Source organism: Homo sapiens, chromosome Y (assembly GCF_000001405.40).
Source record: "Homo sapiens chromosome Y, GRCh38.p14 Primary Assembly".
Taxonomy (NCBI): Eukaryota; Metazoa; Chordata; class Mammalia; order Primates; family Hominidae; genus Homo; species Homo sapiens.
In genome coordinates, this window is record NC_000024.10 from 12,713,110 (window position 1) to 12,729,446 (window position 16,337).

The 16,337-nt window shown below is 36.5% G+C and overlaps 1 protein-coding gene across 3 annotated transcripts in view; it reads left to right on the forward strand.

The window, feature by feature from the left end:
• USP9Y (ubiquitin specific peptidase 9 Y-linked) overlaps window positions 1-16,337 on the forward strand; it is a 159,609-nt gene that overhangs the window by 11,879 nt on the left and 131,393 nt on the right. For 2 of the 3 annotated variants that reach the window (NM_004654.4, XM_047442772.1), the window contains exons 4-7: window positions 7,480-7,628; window positions 8,999-9,078; window positions 12,004-12,116; window positions 13,466-13,684. In NM_004654.4, coding sequence (NP_004645.2) covers window positions 7,480-7,628; window positions 8,999-9,078; window positions 12,004-12,116; window positions 13,466-13,684 — 561 coding nt within the window. Of the gene's footprint in view, window positions 1-1,529; window positions 1,681-7,479; window positions 7,629-8,998; window positions 9,079-12,003; window positions 12,117-13,465; window positions 13,685-16,337 lie in introns of all 3 variants that reach the window. The other variant, XM_047442771.1, reaches the window with a different exon arrangement.

Here is a 16,337-nt window from a genome sequence, read left to right on the forward strand (position 1 = left end):
TGTTGAACTCCTGGGATCAAGTGTTGTTCCCACCTCAGCCTCCAAGGTAGCTAGGACTACAGGCATGCACCAACATATCTGGCTTTTTTTTTTTTTTTTTTTTAACTTTTGTAGAGGCTCTCACTATGTTTCCCAGGCTAGTCTCAAACTCCTGGACTCAAGCAACCCTCCCACTTGAGCCCTCCCAAGTCACTGGTATTACAGACAAAAGCCACTGTGCCCAGCTGCTAATTTTATTTTAAAGAAACCATTATGTCTTAGATCATTTAAGATAAAAAGAAGAGTTTTTATGTTACCTTCATGCATTACTTACAGAATGCTTTTCTTTTGAAGATGTTTCTGTTGTATATCATTTTTCTACTCTCAGAAAAACTTGCAGAGCAGATACATTGACAACAAATTCTCTTAACTTTTGTCTGAGCAAGTTTCTATTTCTCCACTTTTTAAGTATACTTTTGCAGAATACAGAATTCTAGATAGGTAGTTGTTTTCTCTCAACACTTATAGATATTTTATTCCAGTCTCTTGCTTATATGATTTCTTAGACCAAACCCAGTGTAATTCTAATCATTGCTTTGCTTATAGGTAAGATGTTTGCCTGTAGCATGTTTCAAACTTTTTATTTTTCATCTTCTGCAATTTGAATGTATTTCTAGATGTACTCTTTTTTTTGTTTTTGTTTTTTTTTTGGCATTTATCTAGCTTGGAATTCTCTGAGCTTCCTGAATCTCTTGTTTATTGTATGGCACTAATTTGGGGACTTTTTTAGTTATAATTGCTTCTTTTTTTTTTTTTTTTTTGGAGGCGGAGTCTCGCTCTGTCACCCAGGCTGGAGTGCAGTGGTGTGATCTCGGCTCACTGCAACCTCCACCTCCCAGGTTGAAGCGATTCTCCGGCCTCAGCCTCCTGAGTAGCTGGGATTACAGGCACGTGTCACCACGCCTGGCTAATTTTTGTATTTTTAGTAGAGACAGGGTTTCACCATGTTGGTCAGGCTGGTCTCAAGCTCCTGACTTCATGATCCGCCCACCTCATCCTCCCAAAGTGCTGAGATTACAGCCATCGTGCCAGGCCAATTTTTTTTTTTTAATTTTCAGCCTATTTTTCTCTGCTCTTCAGTGTTCAAAGTCTAATTTTTTAACGAGTGCATCATTAAAATGCACAGGAATGAAGGCATTCTTCATTCCTGTTGCAGTGTTTTTGATCTATACTGTATTACCTTGAATCTTTTTTAGAATTTCTCTCTCTTTGCTTACATTAACTACCTTCTCATGTCATCTACTTTATTCATTAGAGCCCTTAGTGCATTAATGGTAGTTATATTTCCATCTGATAAATCTTTTTATTTGGAGACAGGCTATCACTGTGTTTCCCAGGCTGGAGTGCGGTGGCGGGATCTTGGCTCACCACAGTCTCTCCCTCGTGTGCTGAAGCTATTCTCCCATGTCAGCCTCCCAAGTAGCTGAGACTACAGGCATGTGCTACCACGCCTGGCTGATTTTTGTGTTTTTTTTTTTTTTTTTTTGTAGAGATGGGGTTTTACCATGTTGCCCAGCCAAGTCTTGAACTCCTGGATTCAAGCTACCCACCTGCAATCGCCTCCCAAAGTGCTGGCATTACAGGCTTGAGTCACTGCGTCCGGCCTCCATCTGTTAAATCTAACATTCCTGTTACATCTGAGTATGAATTTGATGCTTGCTCTGTCTCTTCAAACAGTTTTTTTGTCTTTTAGTATGCATTGTAATTTTTTCTTCAGAGATGCACATTAAGTACTATGTAGAAAGGAACTTTGGCAGATGGGCTCTAGTAATGTACTACTGGTAAGGTATTCGGGTAGGGGAAGCAATCTGTAATCTTACGATTAAGTCTCAATGTCGTAGTGAGCCTGTGGCCTTTGGGCTGTGGCTTAGATGGAACATGATGGGTATAGGGAGCTGGAATTGGAGTTTTTAGTTCTACCATGTAGAATGCTGTAGCAGGCTAGAGTTGAGTATTTTTTTTCCTTTAGGTCTCTTAGTCATTAAAAAACCTCAGTAGTATAAACTAGTTTCTCTTGAGGGCTTTCTTTTAACAGAACAGAATGTCCTTATGTATTTCAAAATGGCTACTTTGCATCTTTCCCTCCGAGAAGCTCAAGGGACTTTTTTCTTATCTTTTCAGGGAAAGGTTAAAAAAAAAATTGTTCATTCCCATAAAATTTGGCTTCTTAGTAGTTTTTTTTTTTTTTGAGAGGGAGTCTCGCTGCGTTTCCCAGGCTGTGGTGCAGTGGTGCGATGTCGGCTCACTGCAACCACCGCCTCCCAGGTTCAAGCAATTCTCTGCCTCAGCTTCCTGAGTAGCTGGGAATACAAGCACCACCACCCCTAGCTTATTTTTGTATTTTTAGTAGAGATGGAGTTTTACCATCTTGGCCAGGCTGCTCTTGAACTCCTGACGTCATGATCCACCCACTTCAGCCTCCCAAAGTGTTGGGATTACACAAGTGAGCCACCACGCCCAGCCTCTTAGTGGTTTTTAACTTGCATTGCATACTTCCCACCATGAGCCTTCAATAATTCTTTAATTACAGTTTAGGTTATCATACCTTGGGACTGGTTGCCACAGAGGTTTAAGATCTACTCAGATTGTCTATTTCTTTATAACTTGTTCTTGGCGTAGATTGTATGCCTCTGGGAATTTGTCCTTTTATCCAGGTCATGCAGTTTGCTGAGATACAGTGGTTTATAGGATGCACTGATAATCCTTAACTTTTTTGTATAAAATTCATTAATGCCTCTTTTATTTTTAATATTAATTATTTGACTCTTCTCTTTTTCTTAGTCAATCTAGCTAAAGGTTTAGCAGCTCTTTATTTTTTTCAGGAACAGAATTTTGATTTCATTGGTTTTTCTTAGTTGTTTTTCTAGTCTCTATTTTGCTTACATCTGTGCTCGCTTTTGCTTTAATGTGTCACTTAATGAAGGCATATGTTCTGAGAAATGCATTGTCAGGTGATTTCACTGTCTTGCAAACATCATAGTGTGCTTACACAAACCTGGATGGTATAACCTACTACACATGTAGGCCAGTTATTGCCCTAGGCTACTAACCTGTTAGCATGAGTTGAATATGGTAGGCAATTGTAATACAATGGTAAGTTCTAAACAGAAAAAATTTAGTAAAAATGGACTATTGCAATATTATGAGATGACCATTGTATATTTAGTTCATCTTGAATGAAATGTTTTGTGGAGCATGGATGTATTTTGTTATTCTTTTAGTTCTTTAAGGTGCAAATTTGGTTGTTGATTTGAGATCTTTTTTTAAAGTACTTTATAAGGTTTCCTCAGCACTGGTTCTGCTCTATCCCATAAATTTGGCATTTTTTCATTTTCATTTGCCTCACATATTATATAGTTTCTATAGGATTTCTCCTCTTTGATGGATGGGCCATTTAAGATGTATTGTTTAAATTCTACTTATTTATGAATTTTTCAGTTTTTCTTCTGCTATTGCTTTCTTTTTCTATTTTTGAGGCGGAGTCTCGCTCTGTTGCCCAGGCTGGAGTGCAGTGGTGTCATCTCAGCTCACTGGAAGCTCCGCCTCCTGGGTTCACGCCATTCTCCTGCCTTAGCCTCCCAAGTAGCTGGGACTACAGATGCATGCCACCACGCCCGGCTAATTTTGTTTTTGTATTTTTAGTAGACAACGGGGTATCACCGTGTTAGCCAGGATGGTCTTGATCTCCCGACCTCATGATCTGCCTGCCTCGGCCTCCCAAAGTGCTGGGATTACAGGCGTGAGCCCCCACGCCCGGCCTCTTCTGCTATTGATTTCTACTTTAATTGTATCCTGATCTGAAAAGAAACTTTTTATGAGTTAAGTCTTCCTATATTTGTTAAGATTTGTTTTGTGGCATTACGTATCCTGATGCATGTTCCATGTGCCCTTGCAAAGAATGTGTATTCTGCTACTGTTGTGTATGTAGAGCAGGAATCCCTAGTCCCCAGGTCGGACCAGTACCACACTGTGGCCTGTTAGGAAGCAGGTCGTACAGCAGAAGGTGAGCATCAGGCTGGTGAGCGAGCATTACCATCTGAGCCCCAACTCCTGTCAGATCAATGGCAGCATTAGATTCTCATAGGAGCATGAACCTTACTGTGAACTATGCATGTGAGGGATGTAGGTTGCGTGCTCCTTATGAGAAATCTAGTATCTCATGATCACAGGTTTCATCCTGAACCCTCCCACCCCTCAACTGGCTCCATCCATGGAAAAATTATTAATTATTGTTGTTAATCTCTTACTGTGCCTGATTTATGAACTTTAACTTTATCATAGATATGTATGGATAGGCTTGACTGTGACTGTGGTGGGTCCATTTCCACAATGGTTTCCTCACATGGCGGTTGGGTAGAGGCCTGTTTCTTAACCATGCGGATCCCCTCGTAGGGCTGCCTGAGTGACTTCAGACATGGCAGTTAACCTCTGCCAGAGAAATTGACCTAAAAGAGAGGGAAGAAAAAGCCATGATACCTTTCATGACCTAGACTCACAAATCACATTGTCATTTCCAAAGTATCCCTATCTGTACGTTCTAGGCCAGAAACACACCTAAGGGTTATGTTCATATGACATCATTAATCTGAAAGTTTACTTACATTATTATTACCTTTCCATTTTAGAGAATATAACTATTTTCTCACTGGCCAGAATGGGGTTGGTTAATTCAAGCTTAGAGACTGTTGAATCAGAGATAGGTAAGATTCAGTGGTCTTCTATTTTGTTCTTCCTTTTCAGTAGACCATAGTGGGGCTCTTCCCATTGTTTCAGTGAAACAATGGTGAAATGTTTCACTCTCTTCTTTGGAGGCCACCATTAGGTTTTATTATTCCCAACTATGGCATAATATCCTGATAGGAAATCCTGATTTCCTATATCCTGATAGGAAATCAAACTTTCTGCTTCAAGCCTTGTAAATAATGTGTTAAAGTTATGCTGAAGCTCATCTTCCCACACTTTCTGTGACTTTCCACACTTTCCGTGATTTTCCACCTGCATCTGCAGTGGATTTTGAGCTAGTTTTGAGCCTGCTGCCCATATCCACTGTAGGCAGAATTGTATTGGAATGAAATCATTAATCGCAGTTATCTTGTCTATATGTTTCTGGAGTATTCCGTTTTTCTTACCCAGGTAGCTTCTGCAGTTTTTTAAGCAAGCAACTAATTTTAGCCACTTCTCAGTTATAGGCAGATGCAGTAATCTGTTGCTAAGTATCACATCTGACTTGGAAGTTGAAACCCACGTGCATGTGCTTTTTGTTTCTCTTGCTTTTTAAATTTCTATTTGTTTGGCTACAGACAGTAAACGTCACTTGGTTTATACATAATGTATGCATAATATACAGGTATTGGGTTTGACAAATGAAAGACTGTAACCAGCAGTATAATGAACATGTAAAATACAAAAATTTATTTGCACTGCCCTTGTATATTTAAGTCTTCCATTTTCAGTTCCTGGCAACTGCTGATCTGCTCTTCATTTGTATGTTTTGCCTTTTTCTTTTTCTTTTGTTTCCTTAACTAGAGATAGGGTCTCCCTATGTTGTCCAGGCTGGTCTCAAACTCCTGGGTTTAATCAGTCCTCCCATCTTCACCTCCCAAAATGCTGGTATTACGGATGTGAGCTACCATACCGCATAGTTTGTCTTTTCTAAATCATGCTGACTTAATCTTTCGAGATTTTGCATTATGCATTTAGTATTCTTCCATATTGTTACATGCAACAAAAGTTTTTTCCTGTCAATTGCTGAGTAGTATTTTATTGCATAAATGTACTAGTTTGTCCATTTGCCTGTTGAAGGACAGTTGGGTGACTGAAAGACTGAAAAAGAAATAAATAACTATAATTTCAGTTTCTGAGTACAGACTTGTAACCACCAGTATAATGGTTCTGAGTACAGAAACTGATATTACAGTTTTAAAATCTTGCAATAAAGAAAACATAGGAAAGTTCTATTAAACATTTAAGAAATGAGGTCAATTCTATACAGTCCTCTTCCAGACATACTTTTCAATTTCATCTTCCTAAAACATAATTGGTATTTGTAAGGAAGACATTTATGTGTTGCTTAAGTTAAATATTTTAATCTCTTTAATTATGAGGTGTTAATTCTTGATGTTTTGAGGAATCCAGCTTCATTGCCTTTTCTTATTTGTCTCTCTCAAGGGAAACTGAGGAAGAAGAAGAGTAACAGCAATAGGAACCTGTAATCCCTAGTTAGGAATTTTTGTGTCTAAACTATTGGTTATTATTAAGGAACGAAGAGTTTTTTTGGAACAGATTGTGAATCTATAATTATAATCTATAATCTAAGTTTAAAAAAGTAGGTTTGTACAGAATTTATGTAGTATATAGTCAAACTAAATTATTAGAACCTAAATTGATGAAGACACTGTAAACACAAAGGTGCATGTGAGGGTGAAGATTAGTGTTATCTTTGATAATGTAGTTTGGGAATATAGCCTTAAAAGGAATAGTTTATCTTGTTTAGTTAGTCATTACTTCAGTATCCTATCCTTAAGGAGATAATTCATAAGGTTTATTATGAATGTATTTATTAACAGTAAACATGACAAAAACATATCCTCTAATTTTTACTTAGTCAACTCATGCAGTAATGTGTTGCCATTAAATTTGTTTTTTTTTTTTTTTTTGAGACATAGTCTCACTCTTTCACCCAGGCTGGAGTGCAGTGGCGTGATCTCGGCTCACTGCAAGCTCCGCCTCCCGGGTTTAAGCCATTCTCCCGCCTCAGCCTCCGAAATAGTTGGGACTACAGGCGCCCGCCACCATATCCGTTTTTGTTTTTGTAATTTTAGTAGAGACAGGGTTTCACCATGTTAGCTAGGATGGTCTCAATCTCCTGACCTCATGATCTGCCCGCCTTGTCCTCCCAAAGAGCTGAAATTACAGGTGTGAGCCACCACACCCGGCCGCCATTAGTTAATTTTTAAGATTCTTAATTGGCCGGGTGCGGTGGCTCACGCCTGTAATCCCAGCACTTTGGGAAGCGGAGGTGGGTGGATCACCTGAGGTCAGGAGTTCCAGACCAGCCTGAACAATACGGTGAAACCCTGTCTCTACTAAAAATACAAAAAATTAGCCGGGTGTGGTGGCGGGTGCCTGTAATCACAGCTACTCAGGAGGCTGAGGCAGGAGAATTGCTTGAACCCAGGAGGCAGAGGTTAGTTACAGTGAGCCGAGATTGCACCACTGCACTCCAGCCCGGGTGAGACAGAGTGAGACTCCATCCCCCACCCCAAAAAAGATTCTTAATCATGAGGGAAAATACTTCTGTATTAACCAAATTAAATTTTAAAAAGATAAACATTGTGACCCTAGTTTTATTAAATATTTGGGCATATATATGGATACTTAAAAATAGATATTTTTCCTTAATCTGTGGTTTAAATTTGGAATATTTAATTTTTAATTAAGACTTCATCACCTGATTCTTCCAATGAGAATTCCGTAGCAACTCCTCCTCCAGAGGAACAAGGGCAAGGTGATGCCCCACCACAGCATGAAGATGAAGAGCCTGCATTTCCACATACTGAGCTGGCAAACCTGGATGACATGATCAACAGGTGCATTTGTTTGGATTTGTTTTATTAATGGATGCAGTAAACTAGAAAAGCAAAACTACTTCCAGCATTGCAACTAGTAGTAAATGAGAAAAAGAAAAGAGTAGATTGTAGTGTCTCAAGTCTTACTATTTTAATAGCCTGAACATTTTAGTCCTAGCTGAACACTTTGCAGCTCATTGTACTTAATGCAGGCATTTCTTATGGATTTTAAATATTGGAAGGTAATGACAATATGAATACAGTTTCAGATTAATGATGCTTTATGAACCCTTCCTGTGTTTCTAGCCTAGACAAATAGGTAGGTATTTTGTTTTGAATGTTTACAAACATTTCTCTTTGATAAGAACTTTATACCAGAGTTCTGGAGAACTTTTCTCACTTGTGGAATGTCCATTTGCTACAGCAGAGACCTTATTGCAGAAGGTTGTATTGCTTCTTTCTCTGTTTTGTTTAGCGGTTGCTGATTTCTGTTAGAGTGTATTTTTCATAAGGACTAGAGAACTGAAACTGTTAGTAAATCCTTAGTGGCAGACAGAAAAGATTTTTTTTTTTGTATATATAAAAGCAACAAAAAGGATAGAATCAGTTTACCTTTAATAGATTATATGTATTGAGGCATCTTTTTAAAAACGAAAAGAGATATTTGGGAATTTTGCTGTTTCTTAGTACAGGGATTAAGGGACAGGTGAAAGAAAGTTATTTCTGGGGAGTAGTGGGTTTGTCAGTAGACATAGTTGCAGAAAGCTGAACTTTTTACAAAAGTAAGGAATGTACCAGGTGAGTGTGTGGTGCCCTTTGCATCACTTTTTAATGTGGGAGTGTACTTAAGATGGCATAGTGGCTTTCTGTATTGCCTTTTGATATGGGAATGTACGTATGACAGTAGGTTTAGAGGCCCACACCTGAGACGTGATCTTTAGGAAAAGGTGAGATAAATGTTTTGTTGAGATCTAATTTCTTTTGTCTTTGTGAAGAGGAGTAAAACAAAACACTTGCCACAGTGTGTCCTTTCACTAATAAATATGAGCCCCCAAAGAGCGTTTTCCTACTAATAAAAGGTATACATTTAATTGATAATTGTATAGGTTAGTTTTAGTATTCTAGAGAAGCTATTAAAAGAATTCCCTGCCATTGCTATATCTCATTTGACAGTGCCTAAAAAAATTCAGTATATAGACACAATAGATGTCTCTTAGTTTTCCAATGTAGATAATTTGCCTACTTCTTTTTAGAAGTCTATATGGTGAATATAATATAGGCAGAATTTCTCACTTTTTCATAGTAACAGTAACTATGGTAGGTAACTTATTTATAGTGTTCCTTTACTATGAAACCAGTAAAGCCTCTTTTTGTTTTATAATAATCCTTAGGCCTCGATGGGTGGTTCCTGTTTTGCCAAAAGGGGAATTAGAAGTGCTTTTAGAAGCTGCTATTGATCTTAGTGTAAAAGGTGAGTGTGGATGTACATTTTCTATAATACGTGCTCCTATATATACTTACACCTTGTTCTTAAAGGCTTTTCATCCCTCTGTTATAAAGGTACTGTTTATTCCTAGTTTATAATGTGTCACAAACCTTCCTGGTAAGGATTATTTTACATATATACATGCATATTATATATACTTATTACACACACACACACACACATATATATATATACACACACACAGACAAATATACATACTTCCCTATAGTAAAGGTTCATAGAAATCTTTAGATAGCCTTTAGGGATACCTGGAGCCATTTAAGTATTATGTATAATTTTATGTGTACAACCATATTTCTAAGGTGAGAATATATATTTTTTAAATTTTTAAAAAGATTGTTATCCAGAAGTTAGAAAATATTTTCCAGAATATGAGGAGGGGATATAGCTCAGGGTTAGAGCATCAGACTGCGGACCAAGAAAATATTTTCCAGAATATGATAGTTCTAAAGTCTGCTATATGAAGTAATGTGCATTAAAGCATATTTTACAGTTTACAAAGTGCTGCATAGAGGGTTTATTGTATGACATCATATATATTTGGTGACCTTTTTACACTTAAGTCACATGTGATTGAGAAATATGTTAATTTGTGATTGAGAAGTATGTTAATTTGTAAATAATTTTGCCAATTATTTTTATTTATTTTATTTTATTTTTTTGAGATAGATTCTTACTTTGTCACCCAGGCTGGAGTCAGTGGCGTGATATCAGCTCACTGCAACCTCCGCCTCCTAGGTTCAAGTGATTCTCTAGCCTCAGCCCCCCAAGTAGCTGGGATTACAGCAATGAGCCACCACACCCGGCCAGCCCCATCTATTTGTTTTTTACATGCAAATCACTATTTCACTAATATTGAGTGTATATGTTTAGTAAACTGTCTAGCTTACATATTTAGCTTTTTTTTCTTCTTAACACAGAGTTGAAGCGTTTTTCTTAAAAAGAAAAACGTCTTAAAAGATGAAGCCTTAATATAAAAAAAAAAAGCAACCTATGAAGAAAATTTGATATTTTTACTCTCAGCCACAAGTAAAAGCTTTGGGTTTGAATGAAGCATTTTGGATGATTTTGTTGTAATAATAGGTGCAATAAAATTCATGGATGAGCCATTTTTGTAATATTTTGTATTATTTTATTTTTATTTTATTTTATTATATTTTATTTTATTTTATTTTTTTTTTTTTTGAGACAGAGTTTCACTCTGTCTCCCAGGCTGGAGTGCAGTAGGGCGATCTTGGCTCACTGCAAGCTTCGCCTCCTGGTTCATGCCATTCTCCTGCCTCAGCCTCCCGGTAGCTGGGACTACAGGCGCCCACCACCATGCCTGGCTAATTTTTTGTATTTTTAGTAGAGACGGGGTTTCACAGTGTTAGCCAGGATGGTCTTTATCTCCTGACCTCATGATCCGCCCACCTCGGCCTCCCAAAGTGCTGGGATTACAGGCGTGAGCCAGCGCCCCCGGTGAATACTGTGTATTTTTTTAAGGACTTGAAAGCTGTAAGAAGGGTCAGAAGTATTTAATTTTTGTGTCATTCAGCAGGAACTTAACTGTCAGTGTTGTTAGACAAATTTTTAATTCCTTTGGTATCCTGTAAAGTGTTTCTGTTGCCGAGTCTGACTCTGTGGTGGTATTGATAATTTCATTTAACTAATAACTATCCTACTGTCATTTAACGACTGTTATGTTGTTTTACTGATCTTACCAATATGTGATCTAGTGACCTCTGAAAATATTTTACCAGATTGAAAATATTTCTCCTCATTTAAATTTCTTTTGTTAATTGCATATTTATTAATTGAGCAAATGTCAAGGACTTCTGTACTAGGTATGTTCTAGGGTCTAACACTACAAAATGAACAAAAACTGGAAATGGTATTTCATTTCATAGCATTGATATTCAGTGGATGTATGTCATTTGCAGGGACTTTTCCTCTGTTATTCTGAGATCGTGATTACTGTAAGATAAAACTAGTTTAAATGATAGAGTAGTATGTATATAATTCAAATCAAAATATATCTCCTTGTACATATTTAATATGTTTTGAGTTGCTTTAAGAGTTACAGGTTTTCTGGCTGGGTGCAGTGATCCTGTAATCCCTGTAATCCCAGCACTGTGGGAGGCCAAGGTGGGAAGATCACCTGAGGTCAGGTGTTTGAGACCAGCCTGGCCAATATGGCAAAACCCTGTCTGTACAAAAACTACAAAAAGTAGCCAGGCATGGTGGTGCATGCCTATAATCCCAGCTACTTGAAGGCTGAGGCAGGAGAATTTTTTAAACCTGGGAAGTGGAGATTGCAGTGAGCTGAGGTTGTGCCACTGTACTTCAGTCTGGGAAATAGAGCAAGACTCTTCAACAGAAAACACTTGTAAGTTTTATTTTTTGATAGAGGCACATGGATCTTGCTTTTCTTAAATCAGGTAAAGGTAAAAAGAAAAAAGAAACTTAAGATTTGCCTCTTAAATTTGATGATAAATGGGCAATTTACCGGGAAAAATCAGATTTTTTAATTGTCACTTTTTAATTTTCACAGATTTTTTACTGTATTTCAGTAATTAAAATTCTATGAAATGGTTCAATTCCCTGTCTACTAGTGAACATTCTTTTTCTGATGTCATATTTTCAAGCTGTTTCATTGAGTTACATTACTTGATTTGATGTAGTTTATACAACTGTTTCTAAAATTTCCTGAATATTATATTTCCTTCCTTTTTCTGAAATCCCATGTTTTTTCACCTTTTTAACATTTTATAATGTCATGTCTCATTTCAAAAGCCACAACACTATTTGTGAATTGGAGACCATAATAGTTTCTAGCAATTTACTATGTTTAATCATAATTGGCCAAATAATTTTTTTTAAACATTCTTTGTTTGGCTCGTTTTTTAGGCCTTGATGTTAAAAGTGAAGCATGCCAACGTTTTTTTCGAGATGGACTAACAATATCTTTCACTAAAATTCTTATGGATGAGGCTGTGAGTGGCTGGAAGTTTGAAATTCATGTGAGTCTTGTATTTCATTTCTGGGACTCAGATTTACATGGTGATTCCTGTGGATTTGTTTTTGAAAAATACTTCTGTGCGTAACATATTAACATATCAAGTCTGCTGATATATACTGCATAATTGAAGGTTAGCATGGTCTTTAAGAATGAGCTTGCGGTTTTGATTTAGTAAACCTTTGTTTAACCTGTCCCCTGAAATTTCAACAACCTTGTAACCTTACACACAACACAGTGTATTTCATCAAATGCAAGATAGTATTGATTGGAAGAGGCACTACTATTTTGTAGCACTTGAGGTCAAAAATACTTAAGCAGACTCTCAATGTAGCTGGGATAACAAAGGATATAATTTCAGTGCAAATGTAAATGGTAAAGAAACTCACTATGCACAAATGTAAAGCAAAGAAACTATTTTCCAGAGTATAATAGTTCTAAAGTCAGTTATGTAATGTGCAGAGAATGAAAGAAAGAAGATTGGTAGAGAAAGAAGACCCCCTGTCTTGGAAATTTAGACCAGAAACCAGTATTCACACAATTTTGTGATACGAATTCATACTTAGAGTTTTGATGCCAAAAAAGTCAAATAGAATTTAATACATTCTCAGATTAGCAGTATCTTCAAGTGACAGGTAAAAGGAAACACAAGTAATCTCAGGTAATATTGCAAATCTAGTACCTAGGTATATATTGCAGTCTGCCAACTATCTTGATTCTATTATAAGATACCTTCATATTTCAGAGATTTTAAAAATGACAAAAACTAAAGTATCTTTACTGAATTACTGTACATACTTCAGGCCTCTGGTTCTTTTTTAGAAAATGCAGTTAACCAAAAGTTATGAATCAAATATATACTTTTTGATGACCTCAACCTAAAAAATACAACTTAGACATTTTCCACAAATGACCATGGCATGCATATGCCAGCAGCTCTGAATTGACCTATAACTTTTTTGTAGGGGTGGAAATTGAAATTTTGAAAATATGTGACTTTTGAGTTGAGATGTTGATAACAAAACTTTAAAGGTTTCCTCTAAAGTACAAATTCCAGAGAGAAAAGTGGCAATTTGTGTGTCCTGTAGACATAAAGCAGAAATAGACAAACTGTGGTACCTACTTTATTTGTTACATTTCTCAAATAGCTTTTGAAATTAAGTGCAAATTTATGAAATAAATATTAATTTATCTTTACCAATGTATTACTTTGATCCCAATATTAGTGAAATTATGCAGAATTAAGATGACCAGTGCAGAAAAATGGAAAGAGATTATTAATAAAAATTAAATGTGTTTGAAATTGCAATGTGTTCTTATTATAAACTGTATCATATCCTATCCATGTAACAGAGATGTATTATTAACAATACTCATCGCCTAGTGGAGCTTTGTGTGGCCAAGTTGTCCCAAGATTGGTTTCCACTTCTAGAACTTCTCGCCATGGCCTTAAATCCTCACTGCAAGTTTCATATCTACAATGGTACACGTCCGTGTGAATTAATTTCCTCAAATGCTCAGTTGCCTGAAGATGAATTATTTGCTCGTTCTTCAGATCCTCGATCACCAAAAGTGCGTTGGTTTGTTATTTTCAAGATTAAATATTAATTTTTTTATTTGCATTTGCCACAGACCATTAGTGATGTGAACCTGTCTTTAAATAATGATCAAGTCAATACATAGTCTTGTTTTATGTGGATTTCTGTTTAAAGACCTATTATTTAATATGTATAACCTTGAACTCATGGTCAATAACCATATAACTCATGCCTGAACAGGGTTTATTATGTATTGATTGGTTGAATATGCTCCTTGGAGCATAGTGTTTGTGTTTCTGTGAGGAGAAGTCAGTATTTGCTAATTCATTGTTCACAGCTACTTCAGAGACTGTAATTACTGCAAATAAGCATGGGCTGTTCTTTGTTTGTACTGTGTGTATATATTTATTAAAGCAGCAGAATGCTTACATATATTTACAGACTGTATAACCTCAGTGAGATTTAAAAATTGTACCATTTTGCTTTCATGACATACCATTAGGCGTTTCCTGTAATGCCTAATTTTCTTAGGAGAAGATGGTTCAGTGTTCAACAGCTAAATCTTGGATCATGTAAGTAATCTTTGTAGTTGTACCTCAAAGGGAAGTTAGATCTGCTTTATACTTGCCAGAATTAACAATTTTTCTCAAGGAAGCGGGATAGAAGACAGCAAAATCTAATTACACATCAAAAAGCCAGAAAAGAAAAAAACAGCCAAAACCACTGCACTAGCAGTCAAAGCTATGGAAAAGTCACCCAATTTTGTATATTTTCACTTTAATGTGTCAGTATCTTTAATATTACTGTAGTGGCTATTTCATATCTCAAAGTCAGTTTGATCATATTAAATTCAATTAATATTTAGCGCATGAAAAAAAAACTTAACCAGCAACAGAAAAAGAAAATAGAACGTGGCTTTAGCAAGTATACTGCATATGCACATGTGCGTGTGCTCACACACACACACACACACACAAACTCGCAGAATCCAAAAAGATAAAATAATACAGAATTCCTTTAAATAGTATAAAATTTTTGTGAACAGACATAATTTACTTTTTTCTTTCCCATTGGTTCACATTGGATAAATCCTATTACTGCTTTTTCTTGTGTTACCTCCACAGGTAGGAGGACTTAATTAGTGTATTGAATAGAAATAGTGAAAGGAGGCATTCTTGATTGTTCCTGATCTTAGATAAACAGCTTTCAGTCTTTCATCATAGAGTATGATGTTAGCCAAGAGCTTTTTACATAAAGTCTTTATTATGTTAATGTCAATTATTTCTGTTCCTCATTTGTTTAGTGGTTTTATCATTGTGGTGGTAAATTTTGTCAAAGCTTTTTCGGCATTGATGGCCATGATCATGTGATTTTTTTCCTTTCATTCTCTTCAGATTGTGTGTCGTATTGATCAATATTTGTATGTTGAAGTGTCTTTCATTCCAGGAAAAAAATAACTTGGTCATGTATATAATCTCTTTAATATGTTTTAAATTTTGTTGCTATTATAGTATTGCAGAATTTTGCATCAATATTTATAAGGGAGATTAGTGTGTAGGGTTTTTTTTTTTTGTAATTTCTTTGTCTTGTTTTGATGTTCAGGGTAATGCTGTCTTCATAGATGAGTTTGGATATGTTCTTTCCTCCTCAGTTTTTTGGAAGACTGTGAGGATGATTGGTCTTAATTCTTCAAGTATTTGGTAGAATTCCCCCAGTGAAGTGATTGGGTTTTGTTTGGGCTTTTCTTTATGGGGGTATTTTTGATTGCTGATTCTGTCTGATTAGTTATGGGCCTATTCAGGTTTTCTATTTCTTCATGGTTGCGTCTTGGGTAGATTGTATATTTCTATAAAGTTGTCCTCCTATCTAGGTTATCCAGTTTTTTAGGATGCAGTGGTTCTTAGTACTCTCAGATGGTTTTTTATTTCTATAATATACATAGTAATGTCTCCTGTTTTGTTTCTGCTATTAGTTATTTGAGTCTTCTCTCTTTTTCTTAGTCAAACTGGCTAGAGGTCTGGCAATTTCTTTATTTTTTCAAGAACCAAATTTTGGTTTTGTTGTTTTTCTGCTCTGTTTGCTAATCTCTTGGCATTTATATTCTTCTGCTATCTTTGGGTTTATTTTGTTACCCTTTTTGTAGTTATTTTTTGTTTGTTTGTTTTTGTTTTTGAGACAGTCTTGCTCTGTCGCCCAAGCTGGAGTGCAGCGGCATGATCTCAGCTCATTGCAACCTCTGCCTCCCATCCTGTGCCTCAGCCTCCATAGCTGCTGGGGTTAACAGGTGCTCACCACAATACCCGGCTGATTTATGTATTTTTAGTAGAAAAGAGGTTTCACCATGGTGGTCAGGCTGGTCTCAAACTCCTGACCTCAGGTGATCTGCCCACCTCAGCCTCCCAAAGTGCTGGGATTACAGGCGTGGGCCATTGCTCCCAGCTTCTTTTTGTAGTTCTTTAAGGTATAAATTTTCGGTTGTTGATTGGAGATCTTTTTTAAAAAATCCTCTGTACTATGAAGTTCTCTCTTCGCACAGCTTTTGCCGCATCTCATAAGTTTGATATGTTTTCATTTTTATTTGCCTCAAATATTATACTTTCTGTTGGAGTTCTCCTCCTTGATCGATGGGTCGTTTAAGATGTGTTGTTTAATTTCTCCTTATTTATGGATTTTTCAGTTTTTATTTT